The sequence below is a fragment of the Homo sapiens genome, chromosome 6 (genome assembly GCF_000001405.40).
Source record: "Homo sapiens chromosome 6, GRCh38.p14 Primary Assembly".
Taxonomy (NCBI): Eukaryota; Metazoa; Chordata; class Mammalia; order Primates; family Hominidae; genus Homo; species Homo sapiens.
The window spans coordinates 96889122-96906345 of record NC_000006.12 but is presented as its reverse complement, the minus strand read 5'-3'; the positions used below and the strand labels follow the sequence as shown (position 1 = coordinate 96906345).

The 17224-nt window shown below is 38.0% G+C and overlaps 2 protein-coding genes across 2 annotated transcripts in view, besides 1 other annotated feature; one reads left to right on the top strand and one right to left on the bottom strand.

The window, feature by feature from the left end:
* The window catches only part of KLHL32 (kelch like family member 32), a 242671-nt gene extending 234408 nt beyond the window's left edge, over positions 1-8263 (bottom strand). Inside the window, exons 1-2 of the mRNA NM_001323258.2 lie at positions 6201-8263; positions 5944-6031 (exon numbers count right to left, since the gene is read on the bottom strand). The gene's annotated coding sequence lies outside the window, so the exon portion shown is untranslated. The remainder of the gene's footprint in view (positions 1-5943; positions 6032-6200) is intronic.
* Positions 8455-17031, top strand: NDUFAF4 (NADH:ubiquinone oxidoreductase complex assembly factor 4). Its single transcript, NM_014165.4, has 3 exons — positions 8455-8680; positions 9499-9602; positions 14955-17031. The coding sequence occupies exons 1-3, from the start codon at positions 8545-8547 to the stop codon at positions 15240-15242; spliced, it is 528 nt and encodes a 175-aa protein (NP_054884.1). The 5' UTR covers positions 8455-8544; the 3' UTR covers positions 15243-17031.
* Positions 8533-8632: an enhancer, noted in NCBI's record as "active region_24846". NCBI's record gives its function as "activates an Ori minimal core promoter by ATAC-STARR-seq in GM12878 lymphoblastoid cells {active_cell/tissue: GM12878}" and the evidence as "EXISTENCE:reporter gene assay evidence [ECO:0000049][PMID:35858748]".

Sequence of the window (17224 nt, the reverse complement as noted above, 5' to 3'; positions counted from 1 at the left end):
CCACCCTCTTAATCCCCAACTTTATTCTTGCTGTATTCATTTTCTATTGCTTCACAACTAATCACTACAAACTTAGAGGCTTAAAACAATATCTATTTATTATTCTATGGTTCTGTAGGTTAGAAGTCCAAAGCAGGCTTAACTGGGTTCCCTGTTTAGGGTCATTGGGGGTCATAGACTTCTGTCTACCACACCTGCCTCCCTGCCTCACCTAACAGTGTCACATCCAACAGAAATGAAACTCGGCAGAGGATTGTGTGCACTGATGCTTAGGGGTGGCTGTGTGCAATTCCTAGGGACAATGGAGACAGAAGCTAACAAAAGGTGGGACTACCAGAATAAAAAGGCAGAGCTGTGCCTGCAAGGTCATGGATTGACAATAAGAAACTAATCCAAAAAGTCTATGAGCAAGGACACTTCATATACTTCCCAGAGTATCCTTCACCATTTTAAAAACAGCCTCAGGCAGCTAAATGGTTCTCTTAAATATGTATAGTTGGGTATAATACTACAGAGTATTGCAATAATGTGTTAATGAATAAGGAATCTGAAGATACTAACTTCTAAGCCATAAAGTGCCAATCAAACCTAAACTATAATTATTAAAATGTTTCCTATTATATTAGTATTTTGTTATATAAAAGAATAATAGCTAATAGTTTTTGAATGTTTACTGTATGACAAGACTTATGCTTTCAAATGGATCATATCTCACAACAACCCTATGAAATAAGTAGTATTGTTATATTTCCATTTTACAGATAAAGAAACTGAATACCAGAAAATTTAAGGAGCTTACCACAAAATTATGCAGTCAGGAAGTGATAGAACCAAGATTCAGATGCAGGTTTGTCTGATGCCAAGCTGGTTAGTAATCATTATGTTACACCATGGCTGCTAAGAAAAGAATCAGAGACAGTTACAAAGGGAGAAAGGACCAGACAGACGGAGAGAACAAACACAGACCCTAGCTCTGGAGTTATTGAGTTGGGTTTACCAGTTAAGGTAAAATGCTTTGGTTACAACTTGCTTTTCACATATTTTCTGGGGTCCTTCTGGAATTCCCTGTTCTATATTCTTTATTTTCATAATCTTTCATAATCTTTGAAATGAAAATGATTTCTTGAGTATTTGCTTGTTCTTTGCATCTTTTCACTTTTTTTTCCCTGTGCCAAATTATCAAGACTACCTTCTGTAGCTGGGGCCAAGATGGACAACTGTTGTATTGATTAAATTGCTATGGATGGAAAAAAAAGATCTCATTGGAATCAAACCAAAACTGCTATGATGAGGTGTTCCTTACTTCCATATAAAGCAAGTTCATGAGGACATGGAGGGACAGATACAGTATGAAAGCAAACTGATGCAGCAGGGAAAGCTGGAGTGAAGAAAGAAGACAGGGAATTGTTATAAATGGGAATGGAGAGCAAGGGGAAAAAGCAAACTGATAAATGATGTTGGAAATTCAGTTGTTTATGGGGAAAGAATTATATCCTTACATCACAGAGTGATTTTAAATGTTGCCCTGTACATAATCACATCTGTCTTGTCACTATTTATTTGCCTATTCCTGTAACAATACCATACCATAAAGTTTTATATCATATTCTGATATAGGGTAAGTCCTACCTAATTGCTGTTTTTCTAAAATCTATTGGCTATTCTTTCATATTTTCTTTTCTGGATGAACTTTATTATCAGTGATCGAGCTTCATTAAAAACGCTATTACAATTTTAATTGAAATTGAAAGTGTATCAAATTAATTAATTTTTTGAATAATTGACATTTTTACACTATTCAGACTTTGCATCAAGGAACCTGGTATGTCTAGCCATGTGTGTTTCTTTATGTTCTTTCATAATTTTTGTGGTTTACTAAGTTTTAGTTTTACACATATTTCAAGTTTATTTCGAGATGCATAATAATTTTTGTGGTCATCATCCATGAAATTTTTTGACCATTATATTTTCTTTCTTTTTCTTTTCTTTTTTTTTTTTTTTTTTTTGACAAAGTCTTGCTCTGTTGCCCAGGCTGGAGTACAGTGGCCTGATATCGGCTCACTGCAACCTCCGCCTCCTGGGTTCAAGCTATTCTTGTGCCTCAGCCTCCTGAGCAGCTGGGATTATCGATGTGCACCATCATGCCTGGAAAATTTTTGTATTTATAGTAGAGACGGGGTTTTAGTATGTTGGCCAGGCTGGTCTCAATCTCCTGACCTCAGGTAATCTGCCTGCCCCAGGCTCCCAAAAGTGCTGGGATTACGGGTGTGAGCCATTGCCCTGGGCCTTGGTCATTATGTTTTCTAACTGATGGGTAGGATAGCTAGCTATTCAGCTACCTTATTAAATTTATTTATTAGATCTAATAGTCTTTGCCAGATTCTCTATAATTTTCAAGGCAGACAGAAGTGCTAATTTTGCAAAAGAACAAATAACATAACATTTATAATTCTTATTTCCTTTTCTTGTTCTTTGTGAGCTGGTCAATACGATATTTGCCATAATTTTCTGAATTGTACCCTTTATAAAGTAAAGGCAGTTTTCTTCTATTCCCTGTTAGCTAAATGTATTTTTAGTAATGGGTGTTGAATTTAACCAAATCTATATTGGGAATCCATTGAAATGATTACATAGGATTGACTGAACTGCCTTAATTTCTGGAGCTCAGGGGTACTCTTCCAGGCTTACTTGGTCATTGGCAAAATTAAGTTCCTTATGGTGGTGGGATTGAGATATCTGTTTCTTGTGGGCTGTCACATCGGGCCTCCTCTTACCTCCCAAAGGCCCTGAAGTTCCTTGCCATATGGCCTCCTTGCAGGTTCTCTCAAAGATCCTCTAACAACATGGCAGCTTGCTTCTTCAAAGCCAACAGGAGAATCCCTCACTCTTGTCTCCTAAGGTGGTCTTATATAATGTAAAGTAATCATGAGAGTGACCGTAATCTATTCTATTCTGTATCTATTCCTTATTCTATTCTTTTCTATTCGATTGTGTTATATTCATATTTGCTATATTCTATTGGCTAGAAGCATGTCACACAAGGGAATGAGAGTAAGTATTATAATTGTATATATATTTATATATATTTTCTTTCAATTTAAAAAAATGTCTCCATATTTATGATCGTATTCTTTCCAAAAAATTCTTAATGTATTTTATTTGTTCTTTTATTTTCACTTGAATTTGTCAGATTTTATATTCTCAAGGAACCAACTGTTTTTTTTTGTTGTTTGTTTTCTGTGTGGTTGATTTCTGCTTTATCTTCAGTCCTTTAAAGAAATTTTTTGATTTATCTAAACAGAAAGAAAAAAGCTGGCGGCAACATGCTACCTGACTTCAAACTATTCTACAGGGCTACAGTAACCAAAACAGCATGGTACTGGTACAAGAACAGACACATAGGCCAATGGAACAGAAAAGAGGAACCCAGAAATAAGACCACACACCTATGATCATTTGATCTTTGACAAACCTGACAAAAACAAGCAATGGGGGAAAGGATTCCCTATTTAATAAATGTTGCTGGGAGAACTGGCTAGAATATGCAGAAAATTAAAACTGGACCCCTTCCTTACACCATACACAGAAATCAACTCAAGATGGATTACAGACTGAAATGTAAAACCCAAAACTATGAAAACCCTAGAAGAAAACCTAGGCAATACCATTCAGGACATAGGCATGGTAAAGATTTCATGACGAAGACACCAAAAGCAATTGCAACAAAAACAAAAATTGGCAAATGGGATCTAATTAAACTAAAGAGCTCTGCACAAAAAAGAAACTATCAACAGAGTAAACAGACAACCTACAGAATGGGAGAAAAGTTTTGCAATCCATGCATCTGACAAAGGTCCAATATGCAACGCCTATAAACAAATTTACAAGAAACAAACAAATAATCCAATTAAAAAGTATGCAAAGAACATGCCCAGACACTTCTCAAAATAAAACATACATGCAGCCAACAAACATGAAAAAAAGCTCAATATCACTGATCCTTAGAGAAATGCAAATCAAAACCACAATGAGATAGCATCCCACACCAGTCAGAATGGCTATTATTAAAATGTCAAAACAAAAACAAAAACAAAAACAGATGCTGGCAAGATTGTGGAGAAAAAGGAACACTTTTACACTATTGGTGGGAGTGTAAATTAGTTCAACCATTGTGGAAGATAGTGTGGCAATTCCCCAGAAACCTAGAGGCAGAAATACTATCCAAGCCCACAATCCCATTACTGGGTATATACTCAAAGGAATATAAATTGTTCTATTATTAATAAAAAGACATATGCACATGTATGTTCATTGCAGCACTATTCACAATAGCAAAGACATGGAATCAACCTAACTGTCCATCAATGATAGACTGGATAAAATGTGGTACATATACACCATGGAATACTATGAAGCCATAAAAAGGAATAAGATCATGTCCTTTGCAGGGACATGGATGGAGCTGGAGGCCATTATCTTTAGCAAACTAACACAGGAACAGAAAACCAAATACTGCATGTTCTCACTTATAAGTGGGAGCTAAATGATGAGAACACATACACACATGGAGGGGGAACAACAAACACTGGAGCCTGTTGGAGGTCGGAGGGTGGGAGGAGGGAGAGAATCAGGAAGAAGATCTAATGGATACTGGGCTTAATACCTGGGTGATGGGATGATCTGTGCAGCAAACCGTCATCTAAAGTTGATGACTGTAGTGAACAAAACAATAAGCCTTCCAAAAATGTCTCTTAATCCCTGAACCTGCAAATGCTACCTTACATAGCAAAATGCACTTTACAAATGTGACTAAATCAAGGATCTTCAGATGGAGAGATTATCCTGGATTATCCACGCAGGTCCAATGTAATCATAAGGGTGTTACGATGGAAAGAGGGAGGTAGGAAAGTCACAGAGAAGGAAATGTGACAATGAAGTGATGCAACTGCTGGCTGCCAAGAAATGCGGGAAGTCTCTAGAAGAACCCCTTCCCCATTTAAAGTAAAAAAAAAAAAAAGGCATCCAGGAGGAATATATCTCTGCTGACACCTTGATTTTATCCTTAAAAATCTCATTTTGGACTTCTGATCTCCAAACTGTAAGATAATAAATTGTTTTGTTTTAAACCATTTGCGGTAATTTGCTAGCAGCAATGGGAAATGAATACAAATGAATACAATGACAAAAGTCATGAGTGCAGTAACCACAAAGCAGGCATCTGGGCATAATTGCTGGTTGATCATTCTAATCTCTAATCTGAGACCCAGTGTTCCTCAATATGAATACTGGATCTGCACAAAGCCTAGTTTGTTTTGGTTTTGAGTTTGTGGCACTACCCCCCGCTCCCAGTATTCTAGGTTTTACAGACCCAAAACACTGCATCACTATGAAATTGGCCAAACTTGGGAACCTTGTAAATTATTTCAGTTGGACTCCTACAAATTCTCTGGTTTCTAATCTGGAATCCAGGCCCTGGAGAGGTTCTCTCTGCCTGAACACCAGAACCTCTGCCAGAATAAGTCATTCCTCCATAAATCTGTTGTGCTCCTCACTAGTGGTTGAGATTTGATTGATGAAACCTCTGAGGGCTGTCCTGGGCCCCTTGAGCCAACTGTCACCTGGGTTTAGCTACTGTAATCCTTTGGAGAACGCAGAATGCTGTTGAATTATGTTCAAAAGAAGGAGTACCCAATGGTAAAAGTCTAGGCAGAGAGAAAGACATGAGGGCAGAGGGAAACAAAGTGGGGACTATTTCTGTGGCCAATGTCAGGCACAGGCAGGTGGCATTTTATGCCCGAGAACTAATGATTCCCACCCATATTCCAACCTTAATAAATCTAACAATACCACCACGTGTGCTGAGCACGTTAATCAGCAAATAAAAATCAAATTTAGCATTTTTTATTTTTTAAAAATTAAATTATTGAAGAACATGAGTCTTACCGTAATCTCAAATTTTTTTATCACTTTCATTCACCTATTCACCAGAGCTTCAGAATATGTGTCCTTTTTAAAACTGCTCCCTTCTCCTCTGAAAAATGAAAAACAATGCAAATATTGAACATCAGATTCTGAGCTGGGCATTGTACTAGACACATATTTTTAATCTGTGTAAAACCCCTTAGGTGATTACTATTATCCCAATTTTAAGATGAGCAAAGTGTGTTCAACCACATTAAGTTACTTGCATAAGGACTCACTTCTGGAAGCAGGGCTAGTGTTCAGGCAGAGAGAACTTGTCTGGGGTCTGGACTCCAGCTCAGGGATCCTACTTGTCTTTCAGTTCATTTGACCTTTATTTGATAATTGTTTAGTACCTACTGTGTACTAGCTGTTCAATGTGTTGAACAGTGAACAAAACAGACAAAGTTCTGTCCTCAGAATTTACATTCTAGTGTGTTGTCAAGACCCTGGGTTTATTAGTATCTTAAGATATTCAGCCATACACATGCATCATAATACTCCACTCAGATGGAAGCTTCATTCTAAGCAGCATCCTAGTTATACTTTCCTTGGGGATCTGACTTCAATCCTTAACATAAGCCCAACAGGAGTTCTTAAGTTCAGAGTTCCTGTTAATTTATATGTTTTGACAAGAAGAGCTGGAATTATGCATTTATGGTTCAGGTTTTATTTCCATGATTCCCAAAGGGTGACAGCCAATTGTGAGTTTCTGATGGAGTGCATCTGCCTTCTGTTTTGCAATTTGAGGGCCTGAGCAGCACTGGGCCAGGATCAGGCAAAGCAGCTGACACATGCTGGAAGCTCTTTCAATGTTGAATCCAAGCTCTATTGGAATGTGTGAATTCAAATAATTATTTCATATTGTAATCCCTACTGTCCTGACAGTCACTTCTAACATTACTTTTTCATACTGCCCGAAGTTCGGTGGAATTTCTATGAAAATGAGATTTTCACTTTTAAAATATTTTAACAGGCAGTGAGTCGAATTGCTACCATGATTAAAGCACATAGACATAATGAGGCAGATTAAAATTTCTTAGCACCCATAGAAATAGAAATACCGTGCCTAAAAAGCCCTGAATCACAAGCATGCTTAAAAGTATCAAAGATAGAAATCTTGGAGCAGCCTGCCACCTTCAGGATAACTTCCCAGTTAATGCTATCTGAGATCACTGATTTCAGCTTCTATAAATTCCAAATACCAATCCCTGTAAAAATGTTCAGTATAATTAAATAAAGGGCATTTAAATTAGAGTGGCTGAAGCCGTCTTCCTTGCAGTGCTTTTGCTCTGATTAAGCATTATACTTAATGATTACATTAGTTTTCTTTTTAAAAAACTTTCCCTTTCTTCATTTTGGTTCTTTGATTCTTGTTTTATTATTATTATTCTATTCGATTATCTTTACATCAATATTTTCTTACTTTAAGCTGGTTAAAAACATCCACTCTACTTCATTTTGCTAAGCAGAGATCAGAACACTAAAAATAGATTTTGCAGCCACAGTAAGAGAAATACTGTAACTTCCTTCCTACTGCTTCCTTCCTGGTGGGTTTTATTTTAGATTAATAACAATATTTCTAAAGGGTCTTAAATAAAAGCAGCACTACAGTAACCCATTCAGGAAATGGAGAGAGACGGAGAAGGTGAATGTAACACTCGTTTTTTTGTTTGTTTGTTTTTTTTTTCTGACGTCTTATTGTCTGTTCCTTTCATTAAATTACACAGAGGCTTAAAAAGAATGAAGAAGGCAAGAGAGAAGAGAAATAGGAGAGGGAATGACTCAGCATTTAGTAGCATGGAGAAGTAAATTAGTAGCAAAAATAAGATAAGGGAAAGTATAACTAAAATCGATACCATTAGGTCAAATGAGAACGGGATGTAAAAAATAATGGAAAAAGAATACAGTGGCTTGAAAATGCATCAGGCGGGGGGACAGGAAAATAAGAGGCATTTAAATGAGAGCGGCTGAGAACAAATACTCATCGAAAGGGAACATCCTTTCATTATTTTCCTTTCACAAAAGCAGGAAAGGGCAACTTGAGAGCCCAGTTTGACCCTGGTTCAGTAAGTTCCATTTTTATCGGCTAACTCTTTGGTGGCATTGCCCTGTGAAACAACTTCAAGGTCAACTTCCTTACGACTTTGATTTTCAGCTCTTCACTGAAACTTTGGAATCACGTGGAGTCTTATCCAATGCTGGGCCTCACTCCACAAGAATTAAATCAGAAAGTCTGGGGTAGGGCCCGGCACAGAACTTTACAGAGCTTCCCGGGTGACTCCCTCGGAGTTCCAGCGTTAAAAGCAACCGTGGGTCTGGGGACTTAAGCCCCGCCACCTCCCGCCGGAAGCGGCCCTCGTGGGAGCCGTCACTCGCCCCGAAGGGAGGGGCTCCCTTTTAAATGCCCTGGGCAGAGAAGCGGTGTGTGGCCTCCCGAGCGCTAGGGGGCGACGGGCACGCATTTAAGCGCCCGCGGCGGGGCTTCCCCTCACTTGTGCGCATGCTCCGGGTGTCCCGGAGTTGTCCTGCGCCGGTGTTCCCACGTGCGGCCTGAACCTGAGCGCATAATGTTATGAGGAGATGGGAGCACTAGTGATTCGCGGTATCAGGAATTTCAACCTAGAGAACCGAGCGGAACGGGAAATCAGCAAGATGAAGCCCTCTGTCGCTCCCAGACACCCCTCTACCAACAGCCTCCTGCGAGAGCAGATTAGTCGTGAGTGGTGCGAGGGCGTTTCGGGGCCCGGGGGCGCGGAGTCCCTGTGCTGCCCGGCTGTCCCTAGCGTGGGTCCGGAGGCCGAGGGATCGGCGTCAGCCTGCTCGGCCGCAGCCGCTCGGGTTGGCGGAGCGTTGGAAGGGGGAGCCGCCAGGCCGGTGACATTGAGACTGTCCTCCGCGCCCGCGGTGAGGTCGGCGGCCCCGCCTACTTCCGAGACCCAGAGGCAGCAGCCAGTGCTCCCGCTAACCAGGCCCTCGCCGGCTGCTGTCACGGACTTGATACAGGGAATCAAAATCCGAGAGGGTCACAGAGCTTTCTCTAGGGGTCTTCACTGGACGATGGACGCAGAGCCTGACCTGGAATTTTGATTTCCATCTAAAGTATTTTCCTAACAGTCCAAATGATTATGTTTATTTTTTAAAAAAATTAAAGTGGTTAGGCCGGGCGCGGTAGCTCAAGCCTGTAATCTCAGCACTTTGGGAGGCCGAGGCGGGCAGATCACCTGAGGTCAGGAGTTCGAGACCAGCCTGGCCAACATGGCTAAACCCCGTCTCTACAAACAATGCAAAAATTAGCCGGGCGTGGTGGCGCGCCTGTAGCCTCAGCTTGTCGGGAGGCTGAGGTGGGAGAATCTCTCGAACCCGGGAGGCGGAGGTTGCAGGGAGCCGAGATCGCGCGACTGCACTCCAGTCTGGGCAACAGAGCGAGACTCCGACTCAAAAAAGAAAATAAAAGAAAGCGTTTGTGTTAAGCGTTTAGGATATTACAGGAAATTTTCCTTGATTTTAATATTGTGACTTTTTTCCTTTCCTTAGTCTATCCAGAAGTTAAAGGAGAGATTGCTCGTAAAGATGAAAAGCTGCTGTCGTTTCTAAAAGATGTGTATGTTGATTCCAAAGATCCTGTGTCTTCCTTGCAGGTAAATGTGTGTTTAATTAAGTGAATACACAATTTACTTATTTTGGGGCTTCAGGAAAATGATTAAGTGTGGCAAGTAGTAAAAAGAGTGCTCTGCAAGTGTGTGTTGTGATCAATCTACACGCCTTGGCAAAGTTTAAGCACACTGGTGTAAGACAGCAAGACACTTATGCCTTGGTTCACTGGATATTTACCAGAATTCTAAAATAACTTGTGGAAGTATTGATACAAGCAACTGTGTGAATTATTTCATAGTATTTCAGAATTTGTAGGATTTGGTAAGGCATTACTTCCAGTGGTTGTCATTTGAGTGACAAAAGCAGAGCTTTAATATTATTTTCTCATTCTTCTGTGGATTGAGGTATGTTCTAATCTCAGAGACTCCTTTAGTAAGTGGTGTTGTTGGATTTTGTGGGGTGTTCCTGTTTGTTTTTTTAAGGATGTATTCAGATAGGATATTTAAAATTAGAAGGATCAAAGAATACATTAGGAATGGGAACCTATGTGTAAATCCATATTCTGTATTATGTAAGTCCTGGGCACAAGTGCTTTGTATATAGTGATGAACAAAACTAGTCCTTATTTTCACAGGGCCTATGATGTTGTGAAGGACACAGCCATTAAACAAATGAGCAACAATGTGACCATAATTATGGGAAAAGTACGTGCACTGCTGAGTATATTGGAGGGACCTCTTTGAAATGGGAGGATCAAGGATGGTTTCTGAGGAAGTGATAGTTATGTTCAGGCCTGAGGAGGGATCAGTTGGAGTTAACCAGATGAGTTTTTGGGGGCAGGAAGATTCTAGTTAGGGGTAAAGTTTGATTAAAGGCCAAGGAAGTGCCAACAACTTCCAGATTTTTTTTTTCATTCTAAAATATTCTGGTACTGTCCCTCTCTCTCTGGATATTTGCACAGATAGAATTATTAATATAATTTTCACTACAGAGGAGAAATAAAACAAGATTTGTTAATCGCTGCACATAGTAATTGTAGGGTTCAGTTATCACCACATGCTCACATGAAAAAAGTATAGGGTTAATGTCTGTGTTCTTACGTCATTTTAAAATAGGTGTTGAGTAATACTCCCCAAGTATTCTTTCTCTCATGTTACTTAATTATGCATCTGAAAATTCACTCTTGGGAGCAAAAAAAAATTAATGCTTTGTATGTATAAGACTCAGTTATACATATAATGCGTAAAGAGATACGTATATAGTGATATTAAAATTTCATGGGGACATTAGGAAAAGTCTAGATTCCTTAGGGAGAGTGATAATGAAAACTGGAATTGCCTTTTGTTTATGTTCTGTGTCCCTTTTTTTCCTTCGGGCAGTTCATGGTTGTGATGCCTCTAGACATCATTGATACTGTGCCTTTCATATGGCAAATAATTTATTTGTTGTCTGACTTTTTAACATATTTATTCAAAATTCTGTCAAATATTTCAGTCTTTTTGCCTTTTGTGGTAAAGGAATACTGGGCCCACTCTACCATCATATAAACTCTTCTGTATTTTCTTCCAGTAGTTTTATAACTACATTTTATATTAAAATCTTTATCTGGCATTAAATGTGGTCTTTGATGTGTGGAATAGATCAGTTGAACCTCTTTTCAAACAGATGGCTTGTTGTGTAAATATAATTTGTTGAAGAGCCCAGACCTTTCTCCACTTACTTAAAATGCATCTCTAGATACACATATGGGTCTATTTATGGACTCATCAGTTTTACTTATTTTTCTATTTATACACTAGAACCATAGTTTTAATTAATAGAGCTTTATAATGTGTGTTGATATTTCTTATAGTCTTCTCTCATTCTTTTAAAAAGTTTCTGGTCTCTTTTCACACATTAATATTTTTCCAGATGAATTTGAGAATGAAATTGTCAGGTTCTTTAATAAGTCCTATTTGGATTTTGAGTATAATTGAATGGGAATTTATGGATTAATTTGAGGAGAATTAACATTTTAATTATTAAGTCTTTGAGTGGTAAAGGGAACGTTGTTACTGTGATGGGAGCTTTTTTCACTTTAAATTTAAACTGTTTATTGCTGCTACAGTAGTCTTCCCTAATCAGCAGATAGGTTCCAAGACCCTCAGTAGATGCCTGAAACTGAGCGTAGTACTGAACCCTATATATACTGCTTTTTCCTATAAATATATACTATGATAAAGTTTAATTAACAACTAATAAAATGGAACAGTTACAACAATTTCAGGGTTCGAAGATTCATTCTTATTATCCATGTTAGCACTCTCGCCATATGATTTTTTTTCCTCATTAAGTCAATAACTTTTACCTTTTCACTTGAAGGAAGCACTTTATGGCTTCTCTTTGGCATAACTGAGTTGCCAGCATCACTACCCTTGTGCTTTGGGGCTATTCTTGGTAAAGTAAGGGTTACTTGGACACAAGCACAGTGATGCCACACAGTCTGATAACCAGAATGGCTACTAAGTGACTAACAGGCAGGTAGCCTGTACAGCATGGATACACTGGACAAAGGGAGGATTCACATCCTAGACAGGATGGAATGGATAGCGTAAGAATTCATTATGCTGCTCAGAATGGTTTGCAGTTTGAACCTTATGGATTGTTTACTTCTGGAGTTTTTCATTTAATATTTTTGGTCTGTAGTTGACTTCAGGTAACTGTAGATAAAGCCAGGTACTACTATATATCAGAAAGTGAGTGGTTTTTATAGTGTAGCTACCCACATTGCTAGGTTATTATTTCTGTTAGGTTTTCAGTTGATTCTCTTTTCTAAAGATATATCTATGTAGAATTAAAAACTTCTCTTTCTAGTATTTTTACTTCATTCTTTTATTGTGTTGTATACATTAACATGCCAGTGAAAGTAGGCATTCTCATCTGTTCCTTCCTTCCACAGGATGTCTCAAGTGTTTCAGCATTAATTATAATAGAATGATACTTGTTTTCGATTAAAAAATACTTATATCACGTTTGGGACATTTTCTTCTATTTTTAATTTCCTAAGGGTTTTTTTTTTTTCAGTCGAGAGGATTTTGAATCTTCTTAGATTTTTTTGTGTCAAATAATTATTTATTTTAGTATTGACTATTAATTAGAAAGGAAATCTGAATACAGATGTGCTTGGAGTGGAAGGAAGATCTACCTTACCTGGGAATAGGAAAATAGCTTTGAGATTTGGAAAGTGAAAAAGTTGAGAAGAGTGTTTCAGGCCTAGTTTGCAATATAAAGATACAAGAGTGTGTGATGCCTTTGAAGAATGGTTAGAGTTCACTGCAGTTATGAGAAAATGTGAAATGTGAATTTGGGAGAAGTGAGTTGGGATGGAGAGTGATAGGGGTCAGATCGTAAAGGCCCTTATTTTTCTTGCTAAGGAGTTTTGTTTTATTCTGAAGACAATGGGAAGTCATTAAAGAGTTAATGGTCAAAAGTGATGTTAGATTTGAAAGTAGCCTGGCGGGGGAACAAAGTGCATTTTATCTAATTAGAAGAGACCAAATAGGAGGTATTTGCAGTCATTTCTGCAAGAGACATTGGCTTGGACTAGGGTGATTTAGTAGTATGGGGGAGATGTGAGTGAGTTTGAGAGAGACATATGATGCAGTGTCAACAGGATTTGGTCATTGATTGGTGTAATGAGTAAGGGAGAGGGAGGTGCAAGTATAATCTCATTTTTGGCATGAGAGGTAGGTAGTGTTGGTCATTGAAATTGAGGATATGGGAGTAGAACTGGTGATAGGTTTAGTTTCAGATAATATTGAATTTGAGGAGCATGTAGGTCATTTAAGTGGAGATACCTGTTAAGCATTTGGGTTGGGAAATCAAGAAAAGGTCTTGGTTTACGATCACAGCTTTGGAAGTAATTAACTTGTAGGCAGTAATGGAAGTTAGAGGAGTGTGTGGGATTACTTTGGAAGAATGTGTAGAGTGAGAAGAAGGCCTGGGCACTCTTAAATGTCACACACTGACATTTAAGGGTAAGCAAAAGGAAAAGGGTCCATGAATAAAACCCCGAAGGACCCACTGAAAAAACCGATGGAAAACTGTGAGGGGGTGGCATGGAAACCAAGGGGGAAGATAGTTATAAGTACATTGGAGTGGTCAGCAGTGTCAGATGTAGTGAGATACTATAGTGAGTTCAAATGAGGTCTAAAAAGTGTCCTCTGAATTAAGCAACTAGGCAGTCATTAGAGATAGCAAGCATTATTTCTTTTAAACATTACCTGAAGAGAAGGAAACTGGTCATAAAAGAGGTGTTGGTTTTGGGTTTGGTGGGCATGTTAAAAAACATAGTAACTATAGCATTTCTATATTTGACCAAAAAGCAGCAGTAGGCACAGTGCAGTAAAAAAAGGAAAAGAAAAGAAAGAATGATAGGCATAGCTAGGAAACAAGAATGGAATGCAGAGCACACGTGCTGGGATTAAGCTGGGATGGGACAGATAGATGGAAGGATGGGTGTGCATAGGTTGTTTTATTTATACTGGAGTGTATTGGAGGCGTTAGTTTATTTTCTCGGGAGAAAGATCACTAGCAATATTTCAATTCATTCAAGGTGTTTGGGAGTACTGAGTATGAAATACAAAGCTGGGAAACAGAATAGATGTTATCAAGCCAGCTGTTAGGGTGGCATCAGAATCCTGCCCTTTTAAAACAGGTGCAGTTTTTAATAAATTATTTTCATTGTTCTTTTAAAACACGTGAAATAATGTGGTGAGTGGATGGTATACATTTGATTATTATTTTCTAGAGATGCCTACATTTCTTAATGATAGAGCTATAGTTATGAAAAGGCAATGTGGCAAAAGTACTATTAAACTATGGCTCATTATAATAAGAAAATGAAGTTTGGAAAATCGTATATAGAATTTGTGTTAATCCATTCTTGCACTGATGTAAAGAAATACATGAGACTGGGTAGTTTATAAAGAAAAGATGTTTAATTGGCTCACGATTCTGCAGGCCATACAGGAAGGATAGCAGCTTCTGCTTCTGGGGAGGCCTCAGGAAACTTATAATCATGGTGGAATGGGAAGCAGGCACGGCTTATATTGCCAGAGCAAGCAGAAGCGGGGTGTGGGGGAGGTGCTACACACTTTTAAACAACCATATCTGGTGAGAACTCTATCACGAGAATAGCACCAAAGAGGGAAATCCACTCCCATGATCTAGTCACTTTCCACCATGCCCTACGTCCAACTTTGGGGACTACAATTTGGTGACATGAGATTTGGGTGGGGACACAGATCCAAACCATATTAGTTGTTATTTGAAGAGGAATAGTGTAGATTTGAGAAGTATGAAAGTAGATGTCAAATCTTTTCTCTCATCCTAAAACCTTTTTTTTTTGATACTAGGTAAAAGCTGCTGAAACATGTCAAGAGCCGAAGGAATTCAGATTGCCGAAAGACCATCATTTTGATATGATAAATATTAAGAGCATTCCCAAAGGCAAAATTTCCATTGTAGAAGCATTGACACTTCTCAATAATCATAAGCTTTTCCCAGAAACCTGGACTGCTGAGAAAATAATGCAGGAATACCAGTTAGAACAGAAAGATGTGAATTCTCTTCTTAAATATTTTGTTACTTTTGAAGTCGAAATCTTCCCTCCTGAAGACAAGAAAGCAATACGATCAAAATGAAGAAAATCACAGAAATTTCCTATGTGTACTCCTCATCCCTCCTGCTGTATATTTTCTCATTTTTTGCGTAATAAATTATGTTAATTACCAAATATTTAATGCTCTCATTGTGAGGGCATACTCTTAATATTTATTGAGCTCCCTGACTTTTCAAGATTGCCATAGAATATCTTTTGTTTTATTTTAATTTGGTTTAGGCATATTTCATAAGTGCATGTCAGCATGACTGAGCACATCTGTACCTTTATTATGGTGAAAGAGTTAATTTGTTATTTTAGGCACATATACCAACTTTTAAATTGGTCATATTACCCCTTGGGAAATGTCCTGAATCCCTCAACTGAGTTTTACTTTCCAAGTTAGGTGTTTAGTTCATTCTTCTCATGCGATAGTGAAAGTAAAAGCTTTCCTGACCCTTAAGACTGACATTTTCTCGTTAGGGAAAGAGACTCGATAGCAGGGTAGACTAACAGTAGTTCCCAAATAAAGGCACACAGGAGAAAATGAATCAATAGAATCTAATTAAAATTACTACTCCAGGGAATAAGAAGTATTGAGGATTTATTTTATTTTGAATTGGTTTTAAGTATGGAATAATTGTCTTTACAGTTATAAAAAGTAATTAGTGGTGTTTACAAAATGTTGGGAATTTCTGCTTTGACAGATAGGTAAGTCCCATGGGAATTTCTGCTTTGACAAATAGTTAAGTCCCATGGCCTTCAGAGAGGCAGGAAGCAGAAACTTTCAAAAAAGTAACATTTCTCTGGATTTAATGTGGAAATAGAGAAAAATTTAAAGAATAATTAAAAAACCATGGTAGATGAAATTTGGTGATTACATATAGTTTCGGATGTTAATGCTAGTTGAGAGAAGAGAAAAAGATAGCAAGTAGAAGCAGAGAACAGGATCATTGGAAGGGACCTGAGAAATTGCCATTTCATCCATTTTAGCAAATTTAATTAGCATAGCATGTACCAGTACTAGGATCTTGAGTGAGTGTGTGAGTTTAGCTCTGCCTAATATATTACTACTTGGGGGATCTTTGGGAGACTATATCTTCTTGGAGATTGAGTTTCTTCTATAAAATAAGCATAATGCTACCCTAAATGTAAGGGTTATCATGAAGATAAATAATAAAGGACTACAAAGGACCAAGCAAATAGGAATTATTTTTTGCGGTGGAGAAACAAGTGCCTGGGGAGAATATATGACCGAAGATTCTGTAGTTTATGACTTAAACAGGCCCAGAATTTAGTTTTTCAAATCCTAGTAGTGTGTTTTTTCTGTCTTGCCAAAAAGCAGCACACCTCAAAGAAGGGAAAAGGTGTGAATTGTGGGTATATTAGGGTTATTAGTGCTTCCGAGGGAAGATAGGCATCACTACTTCCCAGAGATGCCCCTGGAAATGATATAGAGGATGTTGAAGAATTCAATGTGATGACGGAATGAGGCATTTGTAGTAATGCTGAGAACAGAAAAATGGACTAAGTGGAAAATTTGTAAGCATGACTTTGAATGTAGATTTGTTATGTGAACAAACTACCTAGTTTATTTTTAGTTCAATACAATAATTGTTTTAAGAAAACATGAAATAACTACTCAATATAAAATGCATTTTAAAACTGTAAATAAGTCAAAACTTTATTCTTTTTATCATAATGGTCACTAGCTGAGTCACAAATACTAGTACACTCTTCTGAGCCATCTTCTTTATTCATATCTACATTGTGTGGTTAGGCATCTGTTATGTGGTGTCACATGATAAAATAAAGAACTTCTTCCCATACCATTCATCAGTCCTATACTGCGTTTTATTATATACAGGAGAGCACTTGGTAGCAGTGATGTCAGAAAGTGCATGGAATTTAGATTCAGAAAACAGTTTAGATCTCAGGATCACCACTAGCCATGCCATCTAACATTTTAAAAGTAATTACTGTACTAGGGTCTGATTGAAGTGCTTTACGTGTATTAACTTGCTT

What these genes read in the sequence shown, in the direction of transcription:
- NDUFAF4 (NM_014165.4), top strand. Translation starts at nt 8,545, where the DNA reads ATGGGAGCACTAGTGATTCGCGGTATCAGGAATTTCAACCTAGAGAAC. An exon ending in CCTGCGAGAGCAGATTAGTC is followed by an intron (nt 8,681 to 9,498) that starts GTGAGTGGTGCG and finishes TCCTTTCCTTAG; the next exon opens with TCTATCCAGAAGTTAAAGGA. An exon ending in ATCCTGTGTCTTCCTTGCAG is followed by an intron (nt 9,603 to 14,954) that starts GTAAATGTGTGT and finishes TTTTGATACTAG; the next exon opens with GTAAAAGCTGCTGAAACATG.